The sequence below is a fragment of the Homo sapiens genome, chromosome 10 (assembly GCF_000001405.40).
Source record: "Homo sapiens chromosome 10, GRCh38.p14 Primary Assembly".
In the NCBI taxonomy this organism is placed as follows: domain Eukaryota; kingdom Metazoa; phylum Chordata; class Mammalia; order Primates; family Hominidae; genus Homo; species Homo sapiens.
The window spans coordinates 110,002,883-110,018,909 of NC_000010.11; the positions used below are offsets into that span (position 1 = coordinate 110,002,883).

The 16,027-nt window shown below is 42.3% G+C and overlaps 1 protein-coding gene and 1 long non-coding RNA gene across 25 annotated transcripts in view, besides 7 other annotated features; one reads left to right on the forward strand and one right to left on the reverse strand.

Annotated features, from left to right (window-relative positions):
• ADD3-AS1 (ADD3 antisense RNA 1) overlaps window positions 1-5,499 on the reverse strand; it is a 62,823-nt gene extending 57,324 nt beyond the window's left edge. Inside the window, exons 1-2 of the long non-coding RNA NR_038943.1 lie at window positions 5,299-5,499; window positions 3,075-3,199 (exon numbers count right to left, since the gene is read on the reverse strand). This is a non-coding gene — a long non-coding RNA (ADD3 antisense RNA 1). The remainder of the gene's footprint in view (window positions 1-3,074; window positions 3,200-5,298) is intronic.
• ADD3 (adducin 3) overlaps window positions 1-16,027 on the forward strand; it is a 139,193-nt gene that overhangs the window by 6,510 nt on the left and 116,656 nt on the right. For 9 of the 24 annotated variants that reach the window (XM_024447796.2, XM_024447805.2, XM_024447801.1 and 6 more), the window contains exon 1: window positions 5,102-5,417. The exons of 5 other annotated variants lie outside the window; for them this stretch is intronic. The gene's annotated coding sequence lies outside the window, so the exon portion shown is untranslated. Of the gene's footprint in view, window positions 1-3,064; window positions 3,270-5,101; window positions 6,101-16,027 lie in introns of those variants that run through there. 10 more of the 24 variants (XM_024447797.2, XM_024447806.2, NM_001320592.2 and 7 more) reach the window with 4 other exon arrangements.
• Window positions 3,747-4,302: an enhancer, noted in NCBI's record as "H3K27ac-H3K4me1 hESC enhancer chr10:111766387-111766942 (GRCh37/hg19 assembly coordinates)". NCBI's record gives its function as "activates a minimal SCP1, AML or CMV promoter by ChIP-STARR-seq in primed H9 embryonic stem cells {active_cell/tissue: H9 hESC(primed)}" and the evidence as "EXISTENCE:reporter gene assay evidence [ECO:0000049][PMID:30033119]".
• Window positions 4,303-4,856: an enhancer, noted in NCBI's record as "H3K27ac-H3K4me1 hESC enhancer chr10:111766943-111767496 (GRCh37/hg19 assembly coordinates)". NCBI's record gives its function as "activates a minimal SCP1, AML or CMV promoter by ChIP-STARR-seq in primed H9 embryonic stem cells {active_cell/tissue: H9 hESC(primed)}" and the evidence as "EXISTENCE:reporter gene assay evidence [ECO:0000049][PMID:30033119]".
• Window positions 4,303-5,114: a biological region, named in NCBI's record as "H3K27ac-H3K4me1 hESC enhancer GRCh37_chr10:111766943-111767496".
• Window positions 4,685-5,114: a silencer, noted in NCBI's record as "silent region_2805". NCBI's record gives its function as "represses an Ori minimal core promoter by ATAC-STARR-seq in GM12878 lymphoblastoid cells {active_cell/tissue: GM12878}" and the evidence as "EXISTENCE:reporter gene assay evidence [ECO:0000049][PMID:35858748]".
• Window positions 5,425-5,834: a silencer, noted in NCBI's record as "silent region_2806". NCBI's record gives its function as "represses an Ori minimal core promoter by ATAC-STARR-seq in GM12878 lymphoblastoid cells {active_cell/tissue: GM12878}" and the evidence as "EXISTENCE:reporter gene assay evidence [ECO:0000049][PMID:35858748]".
• Window positions 11,017-11,076: an enhancer, noted in NCBI's record as "active region_4000". NCBI's record gives its function as "activates an Ori minimal core promoter by ATAC-STARR-seq in GM12878 lymphoblastoid cells {active_cell/tissue: GM12878}" and the evidence as "EXISTENCE:reporter gene assay evidence [ECO:0000049][PMID:35858748]".
• Window positions 11,497-12,302: an enhancer, noted in NCBI's record as "H3K27ac-H3K4me1 hESC enhancer chr10:111774137-111774942 (GRCh37/hg19 assembly coordinates)". NCBI's record gives its function as "activates a minimal SCP1, AML or CMV promoter by ChIP-STARR-seq in naive H9 embryonic stem cells {active_cell/tissue: H9 hESC(naive)}" and the evidence as "EXISTENCE:reporter gene assay evidence [ECO:0000049][PMID:30033119]".

A 16,027-nucleotide genomic window follows, 5' to 3' on the forward strand; every position in this document is an offset into this window, starting at 1 on the left:
ACTAATAAAATATGTTGACGAATCCTTGAGTATTGCCCTGATTATATCTCCTTGGGGAATGGAGAACTCATTAGCATGAATTCCGTGTTAGTCCTCCCTGCCTTGTTCCCCAAGTACTTTCCAGACTGGCTTGGCATAAAAGGGTGATCAAAATGTATGCAGCATGGCCAAGTTTCAAATGAATGGCTCATCTAACTCCACTGATTAAATACATAACATTATGTAGTTTGAAAAGGCTGTTGTGCTTCATTAAGTTTACTTTTCTGTCTGAGAGCTTTAAAAAGGTAAATTTTGGGGGGGTGGGATAGGGAGAGGATTCTATAAATTCTTGGCTCTTCATATTCAAATGGCATATGCATATTTCCCAACCCAAGGGAAAATCCTCAAAGCTGAGAAGTTGTTAAATTGGGAACAGTAAGGGTGTGTGTGTGTGTGTGTGTGTGTCTGTGCATGGAGAAAGAGGAAGAGAGAAAGATAAACCTGTTTGCTTTCTGAAACAACAAGTAGTAAAACAGGTTGTTTAGGGTAAAGTCCCTTGAACTAGATAATTGATTTTAAATACATTTGCCTATAATAATACCTTATATTTACATAGTGCTTTGAAAAGTTCAAAGCATTTTTACATTTATTATCTCATTTGAACTTCACTACAACCCTATGAAGTAGGTACAGCACGTATTATAATCCACCGCCACCACCACTTAAAAGACAGCTATACTGAGGCACAAGCATGTCGAGAAACTTGTTTAAGGTCATATAACCAGTTGGTGTTACATCTAGAACTGGAACACCAGAACTCTGAAACTGAAGCCTGTGTTTTCTTGGCAGAAAGTGCCTCTGCTACTGCTTGATCTACCCAGAGTTCCTGTTGAGATTTGTGGCTACAATTTAATTGGAGAATACAAATCAGGCACGTCTAAAGAGCTCTACAGAAAAGAGATTGTTTCTTTTAGATCATGACTGTGTTAGGAAAGGGAGGTAGAGAATGGAGTCAGTTGTTTTGGACAATGCAAATTAAAAACAAACAAAAACACTTTGTAGTCAGTTTCTGGATATGTTGGGAGCAATTCATTCATTAAATCGTGTATTCATTTTTTAAAGTATCCGTTAAGTGCCTTTATATAAGAGACTGTGCTGAGCACTTTGGGAAGAGGTAAAGAAATGCATTCAATTTGCGGGGAGGGGATGTGGGGGAATGCTTTGAATTATACAAATAATCACCATTTTATTCATTGTTCAATACTACCTGGTAGATGAAATAAAAAGCCCTCCTTGCAGAGAAGCAAGGAAAACAAAAACAGATGAAGGAAACTGGGCAACTAATTTCTTTTAATTCTCTCCCTGTAGGAGGCATTAAAAAAAAAAATTGAGGCCGGGTGCGGTGGCTCACGCCTGTAATCCCAGCACTTTGGGAGGCCGAGACAGGCGGATCACAAGGTCAGGAGATCGAGACCATCCTGGCTAACACTGTGAAACCCTGTCTCTACTAAAAATACATAAAATTAGCTGGGTGTGGTGGCATGCGCCTGTAGTCCCAGGCTGAGGCAGGAGAATCGCCTGAACCTGGCAGGCAGAGATTGCAGTGAGTCGACTAATTTTTGTATTTTTAGTAGAGACAGGGTTTCACCATGTTGGCCAGGATGGTCTTGATCTCTTGACCTCGTGACCTGCCTGCCTCAGCCTCCCAAAGTGCTGGGATTACAGGCATGAGCCACCATGACCGGCCAGACCCTGGGAAATTTCAATCCAACTTCCTCACTTTACAAAATAGGGAACTAAGAACCAAATAAGGTTATTTACTTGTTCAAGATCACACAGGTACATCATTAACAAAAGCTGTGCAAAGAAAATTAAAGGCAGAATATTTCCTTTATTTCTTTCTATTCATATTTTGAGATCACACCTCTTCATTTACTTATAGAGAAAAAAACATAACTGGTAAGTGCTTAAATCAAGTAATATAAAGATAAAATGTAAGGTTATAATGCAGATTCTCAGGTGGACACGACACATTTTAATAGTGTAAATAGCAGATTCATATGCACTTAGAGTCAGTCAATCCACTTGTGTTTCTTAATTTTGCTGACCTTTGAATTGCCACTGAAATAGCATTAATACTGTGCTATTATCCAAAAATTATTTTAGATATATTTTGTTTTTTCTATACATAATACTGTAATTTTATTTTATTTTTTTTTGAGATGGAGTCTTGCTCTGTCACCCAGGCTGGAGTGCAGTGGCGCGATCTTGGCTCACTGCAAGCTCCGCCTCCCGGGTTCAAGCAATTCTCTGCCTCAGCCTCCTAAGTAGCTGGGATTACAGGCGCCTGCCACCACGCCCGGCTAATTTTTGTATTTTTAGTAGAGACGGGATTTCACCATCTTGGCCAGGCTGGTCTTGAACTCCTGACCTCGTGATCTACCTGCCTCAGCCTCCCAAAGTGCTGGGATTACAGGCGTGAGCCACCACGCCCGGCAATATTGTGATTTTTTATATCACATGAGCACACATTGAAACCTGTCAACAATATATTTTCTAATACTGGTATTCACTGAAGTTCCAAGTATGCTTATAGGTAGGACTTGAATCCATTGCTTCTAGTCACATAAACGAGTTTTAATTCATTTTTCTTTTTATTCTTATATTAAATACTAAATAGCTTTCCTTTATATAGTTATTATTTTAGTACGATGTTGAATATTAGCACAAATATTAAATTAAATTAAATATTAGCACAAATTACTAATCAGTTTCAAGGCATACAACTTTATTTTGCCATTACCCCAATGTTTGAAATTAGCAGGGCTCTTTAAAACTGGTGCTTCTAGCATTTCATTGACTTACACTAAAATCATTGCCTCCATTCCTCAACCACCCAGTTAATTTTAACCTTGACCTCCCACAGCTGTACTCATTTACTCAGTCCACAAAACTCCCTGATTCCATCCTCTCTGCCTCTTATGAAGCAATACTAGAGAGGAAAAACAAAACCCATTCCTTTAAGAAAGATTCCGCCTCCTCTCATAAGCAAGCGCCTAATGGTAATTGTAGAGTTTACTAAGTCAAACACTTACTACTCAGCATTGAGAGAAGCTGCTGCTGCTAATGCTGCTGCTGCTGCTGCCGCCGCCGCCGCTGCTGCTGCTGCTGTTGGTCTGAGGCTGCAGTAGGTTTCTGTGCAGCATTGCAGAATCCACACCTAGAGAACAGAAGACACAGACACGTACGTCTACTACCCTTGTTAGAAGGAAGCTTTGGATCTTCGGTGGGTAAGGAGATCTATCTAGCTATTTTGTCCAGAAACTGTGAGAAAAGGAATGATCATGGAAAAGACTGTTCATCAGACATGCTTAAAATGGATTATGTTAATTTGTCTTCCTTTGGTGGTGGTGGGGGTGTCCAGATTTGCGACTAGCAAAATATAGTGAGGACTATATTCTGATAGGTGCCCTTAGGATACTTTTTTTGCTATTCATAAAAAGGCTAACCTTGATGCATGCAAAGCTTTTCATTTTTTTGCTTTTTAAATGCAAGAAAATATCCAGCCACTCCCAATATCTCTCTCAAATACTGCAGATATTTTTAAATACCAAATAAAATGTCAGGCTGAGCATTTTCTAAACAATTTTCTTCCTCAAACTAGGCAGCCTTCCCCACGATTCGTTAAGAGTATTTAAAAATAATAAGGCATGGTTGGATTTTTTGAGCAAATGGGAGATGGTGGTAGACTAAAATTTCTACAGCCTTAGTCCAGTGGAGAGAGAAAACGATAAATGCATCACAGTTTGTGTCAAGACAAGATTCATTTTCCACACTTCATATGTGGGAAGAGGAAACTACATTTTAATTAGCACATTTTTAGGGAGGAGGGGGGGGATGAAGATGAGGCGGATGGCGTGAGGTATTTGAGGGGGACGAGTCTGCAGATGAGGAAAGGAAATGAAGTGGATTGTCGCCAGTGCCTTGGAAACGAAGGGGGATAAGGGTGGGGAACGAAGTTTGTTGTGTGTGTTAGGGTGGGGTTGGCCCAAGGGACCATGAATCATTAGAATGGCGCTCGGAGGGGTGTGCTTGCAAGTGTACTGGTGCAGGAGGGACGTGGAAGTCGTGGGTGGCAGAGAAAAGTGTGCACCGCTGGGAGGTCTATTTCAAGAATAGGTTGGGATGAGAAACATGTCTGGGCGAGGGGGGTGGGAGGCCCGGTGTCACCTGTGGATGGATCCACAGCCCTGCAATTGCGTGTTGCAAAGTTTGCCCGGCCCCGCATTCATTTTGAAGGTTCTTGGCGATGCCTCGACTTTTCGCCTCAAAGAAGTGAGCTCTCATAAGGTTCAGAGGCCGGGAGCCAAAGCGGGAGTGAAGACTCTCGAGGGGTCCAAATGAAGCAGAAGCGAGAGCCCCTGTCCTCCCCCTATGTGGAGGTGAAGCAGGGGTTGTGGGGACTAGGCGCCCGCGAAGGCAGCTGTGCTGAGAGCAAAGTCCAGGCCCCACGGGGGGCGTGCGGAGGTTGAACCTTTGCAGTGGCCTCCTACAGCCCCAGCAGCCAGCGTGGGCGGCCGAGGCTGACTCAAAGCGGCGGCTCAGCCTCGGGAGTAGGAGTAGGGGGCTCGCTCATTTAGGGCGGGAGACATTTCCGAGGCGCCCCTCCTCCCCTTCGCGGTCGGGTTTCTATCGGGGTCGTTTCCCCCTCTGGCCCTCCGGGGACGCCGCGGATTCGAGCTGCACAGTCAGAAGAGGACGTTGAAAAGGCGCCAGGCAGCCGCCCCGAACCAGGCCCTCCCGGCTGCCGGGCCTGCAGGCCCCCACCGCTGCGGCTTCACGGACTTAGAGCTTGAGGGCGCGGAGGGGGCTGCGGGGGCGGGACCAGGACTCCCGAGGGGCGCTCGGGGCGGGGCCAGAGAGAGCTCGGGGCTGCCAGAGGCGAGGTCTTGAGGAGGCGGGGCCGGGAGGCTTCGGAGCCCAAGAGGCGGGGCCAGAGGCGTAGGGGGCTGCGAGGGGCGGACCTTGGGGGCGTGACCGGGGGGGGCGCTTGGGGACCTAGGGGCGGGGCGTTAGGGGGCGGGACCAAGGGACGCTCGAGGGGCGCTCGGCTAGTCCCGCCAGAGCGCGAGCCGCCAGCCCGTAACGGTCGCCAGTGTGAGGGGCGGGAGGGAAAGAAGAGGGGTTTAAATTAGATTTTTTAAAACACAGAGCAAGCGCCAGAGGCGTCGGCATCCCAGGTGTCGCCGCTTCCTGCTGCACAGGGCTCGGCGTACAGGTCCCTCCCTCCTCAAGCCCCCTCCCCTTCTCCCGCCCTACCCTCTGGGGCTCTGCGGCGCTTAAGAGGCGGCCGCAGCGGCGGATCCGGCGGCTGCTGCAGCCCGGGCGGCTGCCGAGAAGGAGGGAGGGGAAACACAAAGCCGGCTACGCGCTGCGAGGTAATCTTGCGGGGAGAGGACGCGCCGTCGTCCCGCCTCTCTTCCGGGCCGGGACGCGGGCACCCGCGCGGGGGCTAGCACTGGGGACGCTACTGGGGGTCGCGCGGGGGTAGGGAGCGGCGGCTGGCGGGGCCAAGGGGACTTCTCATTGGCTGTCCCTGCGGCCTCAGGTGAACCCTTTTCCGGGGCGGGAGTGGGGACCACGGCCAGGCCAGAGGGGAGCGTACCTGCGGGGGAGGGTCCGGGGGTGGCGGTGCACGGCCTGCGGCGCCGCCGGGTGGGCCCGACGCTTCGCGCGTCTGCTGGTTTTCCCTAGGAAGGCGGGGAGTACCAAAATCAGTTACTGGCTGAAGCTTAGGTGACCCCGGGGACCTTAAGCCCTGAAGGTGCGCTCCAGGGGAGTGAGAGGTTCCTGCGCTTAGAAAAGGTGGAGGAAAGGGAGCGAATGTTGGTTTTAGTTGTTTTTCTCCTCATTTAAAAAAAATTTTTTTTGTTACAAGTTGAAAGTGTTCAGTCACCTTTCTCCTATAATCCGCTTCCCCACCCCCCAACACAGACACACACAAACACACCGCCCCTACAAACGTATACATGTTAGGTTGAGCTTCCTGCTAGGGGTGACAAGCGAAGTTGGCAGCAGGTCTGGTGTGCTGGTGTTTGGGGCACGTCCAGCCTCTTTGGAGGTAGGCTATTATAGCTTAGGCAAGACCACAGACAGGTAGCATAATCTGGGCCTCTTTTAAAATGGCAAGAACGGCTTCAGGTGAACTTTTTTGTTGCAGAGATTTAATTGCAAGTAGGTGCCGGTTGAAAATGGGAGCGCAAGGAAAACCACTAATTTCCTTGGCACATGTGCTGTTGCAATTAACCTGGTAGAGTGTTAAGGAATTTAACTTAGCCAAGAGGCTTTGAGGGAGGATTATATGCAAGTTTGGGGAAGGAATTGATAAGATTCTGGGGTATGGGACTAGCTACATACACGTGCGTGCAAGTTTACGTTAAATTATGTAGCATTTTAGATTTAGCAGTATTAAATGGTTGCTTTTCTTGGAATGGCTTCTGACTACATAGTGCAGGGTACGTTCCTAATTTTGGCTTTAGAAGACTCCTAGTGAGAGTGTTTTTAAAGATTGAAAAAATAAGAGTACAGTGCAATTTGTCGTTTTCAAGTTAAATACTTGACTGTTAAAAATATTTGTGTAATTAAGTTATGGGACCAACCCATTTATAGGGTTAAGTTACTTAACCCTATAAATAACTGGAACATTATAAATGGAGCATTTGTAGAAAGTTTTTATATCGAAGTCTCCATTATATTGTACTTGCATTATAACTTATTTTCCTTTGCTTAAATGGAGCAGATTAACTTTATGGAAGGAGGACCAGGATAAAATAAAGGCAGCTACATTTAACTCTTCATCTTTCTGAAGAGTTCAGTCTGTGATAACACTTAAGGTGCCCAGAAGTGCTGGCATGTTGGTAATAGTTTTTAAAGAAGAAACGGGTGTATCTATTTTGAATGTTAAACATAATTTGAAGGAGTTCTTGAGATAGTTGGTTATGAGACATTCAATGTATTGCTACATTTTACATATATGATATCAGGAAATGTTTGGTGAACATTTGACATAGTTGATCATATGACACTTGGGAAATATTTTGCATGATAGAAGGATAGTATTTTCGTAATGTAAGTTTCAAGCATTGACTGAAAGGGAGAAAATTACACACTTTGCTGTCTCACCCCTTTCTTCAATATTATGCTGGCATGAATGTGAATTCTGCCTAATTATGTTTAAAGTGTAGATCTGGCCTTTGTAAAACCAGAATGTCTTTTGAGACCAAGAGAACATAACATCAGCAACAGCCCAACTCCTACACACAATCCTAAAACCTAGATACAGGGTGGTGCCCAACTTCTGAGGTTTTGAGGCTTCCTGAAGTAGGCCTATCATGTCTGAGTGCTTTTGTCACATGTAAGCCTACAGGTGGTTAGCTGGTTAATCTCTCCCATTTCAAAGCAGTTGGTTAGCAGTACTGGGTGGCATGTATGCATGTCATCAGAGTATAAGAAGTGTTTGAGGGAAGAAATCACATAAAAGCATAGAAACCTGGCTCTGAACAAACTGTGTAGCGTGTTGGGGAACAGTCACATCAGAACTTTAGCTTAACCGAGTTGTTATATGTAAAGTGCTTAGAATGGGGTTTGTATTCAGTGCTTTTTGTGTTTATCATTATCAGTATGTAAAGTGACATATCTTTTTGAAGGCTGTTAGGTCATGCTACCCAGCATGTGAAGACTCAGCAAATATTTGTAATAGCCAATATTTATTTGCCTAACCTCTGTGCCAGGCACTAAGAGTTTTATATGATTTAATTTACTTAGTCCTTCCAACAACCCAGTGGCTAAACAGAGGCATGGAGAGGTTAAGTATCTTCCCAAGGTGACACAGGTTGGTTCTGAAGCCAGAGTCTGGCCCAAGAGTGAGCCCATGTAACCACTGCCCCTTGTTGCTATTGAGCTCATGGTAATTACTGCAAACCAGTGAGAGGTCTTCATAGTATTCCCACGACTATCAGGTGCACATGTCTTGTTTAACCACATCCTCTGGTATTAATACCACCAAGTTATGCTTAAATCTAAGGAGTGGTGGTTAATCCGCATTAAATACAGTCACCTTTTGACATTGAAAGGGTATTCTCTTTTGATACACAACATATGTTTAGGGTGCTAGAGTTTGTGCTAGAGTGTGCTATCTTTCTAATTACTAAAGATACTAAAGTCTTTTTTTTTTTTTTTGAAGCTTACCAGATATGTAGGGCCCCAGGTGGCCCAGAGGGCACTAATTCCCATTGGAGATTCCAGTTCTGCAGTAAATCAGTAAACCTTATCACCTTTCTGATTACCAACATCATATCAACCTGAGATAAATTTTAACTTAAGTTTGTTCTAAATACCACCTGAGTTGCTTCCTAAAATGAACCCTAAATGCAAAGATGTAACTTGTGGCTTATACTTTGTCATTCACATTCCTCAAGGAACTGTGTGTTGCTGCTTCACCATTGTAGTTGATATGTCAAACAAATTATAAACTAAATTAGGAGCTGTTTTAAGTAATGTTTAGAATTATTGTAGATAGATGAAATGTCATTTGACAACTTAGTGCAATGTAATGTTAGGAAAAAATGTTTAAAAACAAGCATGCGTTGAATTGAGAAAGTGCAAGCTTTATTGAAGACACAGGTTACTAATCTGTTTCTCACACTAAACACTGTTTTTGTTATAATTAGTGCTTTTCAGATTCCTTTGAAAATATTAAATATGTAGAGTTTGAATTTTTAAAAAAACTTTAAATATCTAATCGAGTGCTATTCTTCCTTTTAAACGTAGACCTATTTGAAGTTATTTAAACCCAATTTAAAATTAATTGGACAGTCCTAGACTGTCATGTCATTGAGATTCAAAATAAGTGCCTTAATACTTTATGTCTTCTTTGTTAATACTCTATGGTTTGAACTCCGGGTCCATGCCAGAGTGTTTATAGGTGAGATTGTTATGAGGTCTTTCAGGTTCTGCCAGAGATTCAGTTCTCTTGGCCAAATGCCAAGACAGTCTCAAATTTTTACTGTAATTTTTTACTGTAATGGGTTGTATATATCAAGAATCCTCTAAAACATACAGGTTAGAAGTCTTTCATTGGCTGTTGCTTGAACGAAAAAGTGTGTTATCCCTTAGATGAATATGATTATTTTTTATTCTTGCAGTAGCTAATTATGGATGTGTGTGTCTATGTATACGTATGTCAAACCATGCTACTTGAGGGATTCTCTTCCTTTTAGGTAAAGTTAAAAATTATTCACCTGGTGTATTAATGTAATATTTATTGAGTACCAACAGTATGCATAGAGTAATACCTTTATGTGGGAAAAAAGTGTTGGAGAAAAAAGGTTTGTGGATCTTTTATTTATTTCATGTGTATTTTAATGTTGCTGAATATCTGGACCAGTCTCAAAGTTCAAAATTGAATTGCCAGTTGAAAACATGTTAAATGTTAAGAAAGTACTGTTTAACTTAAAGTCTTAGATGGTAGCACAGATAATGAGAATCAGAGCCCCTTGTTTCCTTAAACTGTTTTTGGTTGAGTATGTTTGAAAAGCTGCGTTAACAATTCCTTTCAGGCTTCTAGGACATTACTTAACTGCATTGAAGGAATACATTTAGAGTATCCTAGAAACCTTAAAGAATGAATGTGGCTTTCAGAGTTGTCTAGCATAATCCAAATAGTAGTAGCATGATCACCAAAAGGTATAAAATGGATGAAACCTCTCTTTGATTTTAAAAGGCTTACTGTTCTTGTAAGTTTGTTTCTTGAAGATAATATTGCTTAGTTTTAACTCCACTAAAAGCTGAACCGTTATTGTACAAGATGTATAGGCCTTGGCATATGTTTATATCTTTTTTTTTTTTCTTCTTTTGTATTTTTGAGACAGCTCTCACTATGTTGCCCAGGCTGGTCTCGAACTCCTGGGCTCAAGCCATCCTCCCACCTCAGCCTCCCAGGTAGCTGGGACTACAGGCATGAGCCACAGGCCTGGTTTATATCTTTAAGGTAAGGTTAGATCTAAATTGAGCCTTTACTTGAAGTCAGACTGATCTGCATCAGCACCATATGTTATGTTTACTTTTTTTTTTCTTTCAATGAAAATGGGCCTGAGGAGATTGGTTTGTATACGGTACATAAACTGGCATTTAAGATGACTACCTCTTCAAACAAGGCTACGGTTTTTTTGGATTTTTAGGTTTTTGTTTTGTTTTGTTTTGAGATGGAGTCTCTCTCTGTCATCCAGGCAGGAGGGCAGTGGTGTGACCTCGGCACACTGCAACCTCTGCCTTCTGGGTTCAAGCGATTCTTCTGCCTCAGCCTCCTGAATAGCTGGGATTACAGGCGCCTGCCACCACTACCGGCTCATTTTTGTATTTTTAGTAGAGATGGGGTTTTGCCATGTTGGCCAGGCTGGTCTTGAACTCCTGACCTCAAGTGTTCCTCCCCGCTCGGCTACCCAAAGTGCTGGGGTTACAGGCGTGAGCCACTGCACTCGGCCAAGGCTAAGGTTTTAATCTAGGGTTATGAAACTCAATTTTTTCTGCAGTGGGCATATGCAATTTCCATAGGATAAACATTTCCCTCAACCAGCTAGGAGGTAAAAACACTTCTGAGAAATTTAAGGACAGTAACATAATGTCTTTAAAACCAGTGTCTCAAGAAGTATACTATATTAGTGAAACAATAAAATAACAGTGATCACAGATACGTTAAGGCAAGCAGTGGATTAAGCAGGATAACCTAACTCCAAGTAATATACACGAAATTATTTTTTTAAGCTTCCATACCTCTTTAAATTTATTCTTGTGATTTCTTACTTTCCCCTCCCTCACCAAAGGAAGTGCTCACCTTTTCAGATGGAATGAAAGAGGAGAGTGCTGATGTGAGTGACTCAGCCTGTTTAACTCTGCCTCTGTGGTGGTTTGTTGGTTACCTACTAGAGGAGGTGGAACTCAAACAATGTAAAAGCAATCAGGTTGGAGAAGTGCTGAGTTTTTAGTGTCATGGGAACTCGGTGTATGTCTTTGTCACCATTAGCAGTGTTTCTGTGCAGTTCTTCCACAATGGCTCAGCTCATCCTGAGCAAGGACAGCATTTCTGTTTTCCTTTTCCATTCAATATTCTCATCCTATCATCTTTTGATTTGCTAGAATGACTAAATGCTAGAGCAGAAAGTTGGGTTTACTCATCCTCCTGAAGAAGATAGTTAGGCTTACTTGGTATATCTAAGGAAGTAAATTTGGAAGTCAAGGCCTCCCCAGGGACTTCTAAGAACACTCCACTTTTACGCCCTAGGAAGTTAGAGTGAGCAACTGTTAGCTGCATCGTGACTTCTGTTCTCATTTGTCTTAATACATGACAAAAAAATTCTAGAAGGTCAGCCTTTTAATATCTAAGGAGGTGGTTGGAAAATGGCAATGGTCAGAGCTCAAATGGAGTTGTGATTGGGCATAAGTGCCTTGGATGAGTGGAATGCTTCATTGCCTGAGCTGCACAAATGGGAGGTAGAAAGGGATTTGCAATGAAGTTGATGCATTGTTCGTATTCCTTATTTCCACAGCCAACTTTTTAAAGGTGAAAACAGTGTACCTCTTACCTTGCCTTTCTTTTACAGTTTTTTTATTTTTATTTTTTTTGAGACAGAGTTTTTTACTCTTGTTGCCCAGGCTGGAGTGCAATGGCGCAATTCTCAGCTCACCGCAACATCTACCTCCTGGGCTCAAGGGATTCTCCTGCCTCAGCCTTCCTGAGTATCTGGGATTACAGGCATACGCCACCACGCCCGGCTAATTTTGTATTTTTAGTAGAGATGGGGTTTCTCCATGTTGGTCAGGCTGGTCTCGAACTCCCAACCTCAGGTGATCCACCCGCCTCGGCCTCCCAAAGTGCTGGGATTACAGGTGTGAGCCACCGCGTCCAGCCTTCTTTTACAGTTTTTATTGTCAGAGTTGAGTTCACTTTCCTAAGGGAAGGTAGAATTTTTTTTTTGAGACGGAGTCTCGCACTGTTGCCAGGCTGGAGTGCAGTGGCGTGATCTCGGCTCAATGCAACCTCCGACTCCCTGGTTCAAGTGATTCTGCTGCCTCAGCTTCCCGAGTAGCTGGGTTTACAGGCATGGGCCACCACGCCTGGCTAATTTTTTGTATTTTTAGTAGAGATGGGGTTTCACCATGTTGGCCAGGATGGGAAGGTAGAATTTTTAAGGTGAATTCTATCTGATTGCTTAACATTTTAGCTTTAAATTGGAGATTGCACTAAAAGGAATTTTTTTCTTTCTCCACAACTGTCTGCTTGTTAAATTTCGAATAAAGATTTTCAAAATAGAAGTGTGACAAACCTTACTCAACATTTAATAATTGGGAGCTATTATTTATTAAAGTACACATTATCAATGAATTAGAAATTCATTGCTTTAAAAATACTTGTTTTTTGAAAAACTAGAGCTGCACTAATTTTCATATTAGAATGTTTGATTTTTTTTTTTTTTTTGAGATGGAGTCTCGCTCTGTCGCCCAGGCTGGAGTGCAGTGGCCTGATCTCGGCTCACTGCAAGCTCCGCCTCCTGGGTTCATGCCATTCTCCTGCCTCAGCCTCCCAAGCAGCTGGAACTACAAGCACCCACCACCATGCTCGGCTAATTTTTTATATTTTAGTGGAGACAGGGTTTTACCATGTTAGCCCGGATGGTCTCGATCTCCTGACCTCGTGATCCGTCCGCCTCGGCCTCCCAAAGTTCTGGGATTACAGGTGTGAGCCACTGCGCCTGGCAGAATGTTTGATTTTTTTTTTAAGTGGACATCAAATTTATTTTCAGTTAAAAATGCTGAAAGTAATACATTTTTACTTCATCTGTCATAGTGAATGTTGATAATGATAAAATCTTATTTCTCTAAGCACTTTGCCATAGCTAAATACCTTAGTAAAACATGCGATAGACAAGGGTCCGGTCACTAGCCACAGAAAGGCTGTCACTGTTATAGCAGAATGTAATAGGGAAGGAACATTTTATGCCTCAATAAGAACAGTGTATTTGCTTGAGATAGTAATAACCTCTGAGAAGCTGATTAATTGGTAATCACTTAAGTTAGATGATTTTATATTGTTTGATGTCTTATAATCTAAACGTCCCTGTGCTCTTTTAGAGTGTCTGCCTTGACCAGTCAGCATTTCAGGAGGGATTGTGACTGTCAGTTAAGTGCTTTGAAGAGAGAACCCCTGCTTTGTGTCACACCTGAATGTAACAGGACATACTTCTTGGGGCTGTTTAATTTGGGCTCAAAGGGAAGAGTGCCATCTACTGAATGGCCAGCATCAAGTTGAGCAGCTCCTGTTTTCCTTACAGAACTCAGCCAGTTCCTGGAGAAACCAGGCCCAGCTTCATTTGGAGGATTTGACAGGATCTTAGTACCAAGTGGAATTGTTGCCTGCTTAATTTTAATTATGCTTCCCAGCAGGAGGCCTAAACACATGATGAAGAACTAATTCAGTACTTGTTGGAATGCATGGGAAAAGAGAAACCTGAAGAAGTTGTTGAGCCTTATGTTAAAAACAGCCGAGTAGTGGTGAAATTAAATTAAGTGGTAAAGAAAATTATTTTAATGAGAGCAGTCTTTCAATAGCAGGTCTGGTTGGTTATTGATGGCTCCTGCAGACAATAATGATGTTAAAATCTGCTTGGGCTTAGAATCAGCAAACAAATCATTTGCCTAACTGGAGGTAAGGGTTTTAAGAATACTTGAATACTTCGATTGTTTTTTTCTCCTGCCCTTTTTGTCTCATTTTGTAAGGCAATGATTCCTACTTGAGTGAATTCACTGTTTCAAAGTAGATTTTGTTGTTGTTTTGGTGTATGGTAGTGGTTTCCTGGTTTTTGTTTGTTTTTTCTTTCCCTATTTTCCAAAAACTTACTGTGGTAGCAGCCATGGGTAGAACTGGAGGTAGTAGAACTAGTTACAGGTCAGTGGAGGTTTAAGGTATCTGGAATAGGCTTGTCAAAGCCAGACAAGAAGGAACTTTGAAAATATGAATTGAAAGGAAGCTTTGAAATTGTTGCTATAAAAATACACTTGATTGTTACATATTTATATATATTATATGTAATTACTTAATTAGTAATCATTTTTGTTAGCCTTTAAAACCTGCCAAGGATCATTTTAAGCACTTCACATAAATTATCCAAAGTTTAGTGAAGTAACTTGCCCAAGATCGTACCGTTAACAAAGGGCAGAGCCAAGATTTGAGGTCAGGGCTAATACCCTTAAGCACTATGCTATATACTGCTGATTTATTTATGTTTATTTTTGTTGGTGACTGCACAGAAGAGTTGAACCAAGATTAGAATGATATTTCTGCCTTGGCTGGAAAATACTGATGCTGGGGTTCTTGGTTTCTGTTGTTGTTTTTAAGGAAGTGGTAACATGGGTAAATACGATTGAGAATTCACTAGAATCAGGACGTATACATGAGATGAACTTCCAAATGTTTTCTATTTGATTTTGTCTATGTTAACTTTTGTTCCTTCTGCTATATTTAAAACCACAAGAAAAGTTTACTGAAACATGAAGTGAATTGTTTCACCCTGGGGCGTGTGCTTAAAATATACCCTTCATGGGAAGAGTTACTGAAGAGGTTTTGGCTGGGTTTATTTTTTGTAGGGGAGTGGGGATTTGTTTTTTGTATGTATAATATATACATATTTAGTTTGCTTCCTTCTAAATATTTTTATGTGGTAGTACTTTTCAATATGGCAATAATCATGTCCACAGTACAATAAAATTAAACCATGTGCCATCCTGAGGTCCTAGGGGAAACCAAGTTTTTGTGCATACCAAGTACGTTCTGTATACTGAATAAGTACCATACCTTACGTGTATGTACTAAAACTTCATTGAATCCATGTATTTTTTAAATTAAGAGATATTTAATACCTGACTACTATTATGAGTAATGGTCTTGTTTGTTAACACATTTTGAGCATAAAAGGTATCTTGTTTAAAAAGGTTGGGGATCATTGTTTTGGTATAACCAAAAGCTTCTAAAATTGCAGTTAAATGATGGTTTTGCTGTGTATTCTTAACCCAGTCACCCTTAGGGCTTCTGGTCCTTCTCCTTTATCTGTAAGGAATTATACTTTAATATGTGTCTTCCAGAAAATCCCCATAAGCTATGAGATACATCACTCCTTGAGACTCAGACTTTCCCAGTCAAACATAGGAATGGTCAGCAATAACTAAAACAACAATGCAAAATATGTTACTTGCCAGTGTGTGTGATGAATGCCAGATGACAGATACAGAAAACAAATGCCACAGGTCAACTGGTCAAGAAAAGAGATGGAGTGGGCTGGGTGCAGTGGCTCAACGCCTGTAATCCCAGCACTTTGGGAGGCTGAGGTGGGTGGATTGCCAGAGGTCAGGAGTTCGAGACCAGCATGGTCAACATGATGAAACCCCATCTCTACTAAAAATATAAAAATTAGCCAGGTATGGTGGCAGGCGCCTGTAATCCCAGCTACTTGGGAGGCTGAGGTAGGGGAATCGCTTGAACCTGGGAGGCGGAGGTTGCAGTGAGCTGAGATCACGCCATTGCACTCTAGCCTGGGTGACAAGTGAGACTTTGTCTCAAAAAAAAAAAAAAAAAAAAAAAAAGAGTTGGAGTGGTCAGAAAAGCCCTCATGGGAAAGAAGAACAAGGGTGGACCTTGAAGGAGGAGTTAAGATTTCATTAAGTGGAGAAGATGGAAAGGATTTTGGCCAGAAATTACTGTCCGTGAAAATGATTCTTTTTCTATAGCATGATGGGAGATAGTTTATAATAGTGGTTCACAATATCTTGCCACTATAAGGCATTTAACAGCTACAGCAAAGACTTATTTGTAGCAGTGCCAAGGACTGGCCTCCCTAGGAAATACATTAGAATATGGCAGGAGTGAAGGGAGGGGATGGAGTGGCAGTGGTGGTCACATGTAGACTTTTAACAGTGCTCCCTCTTAACTCCATATGAAAAT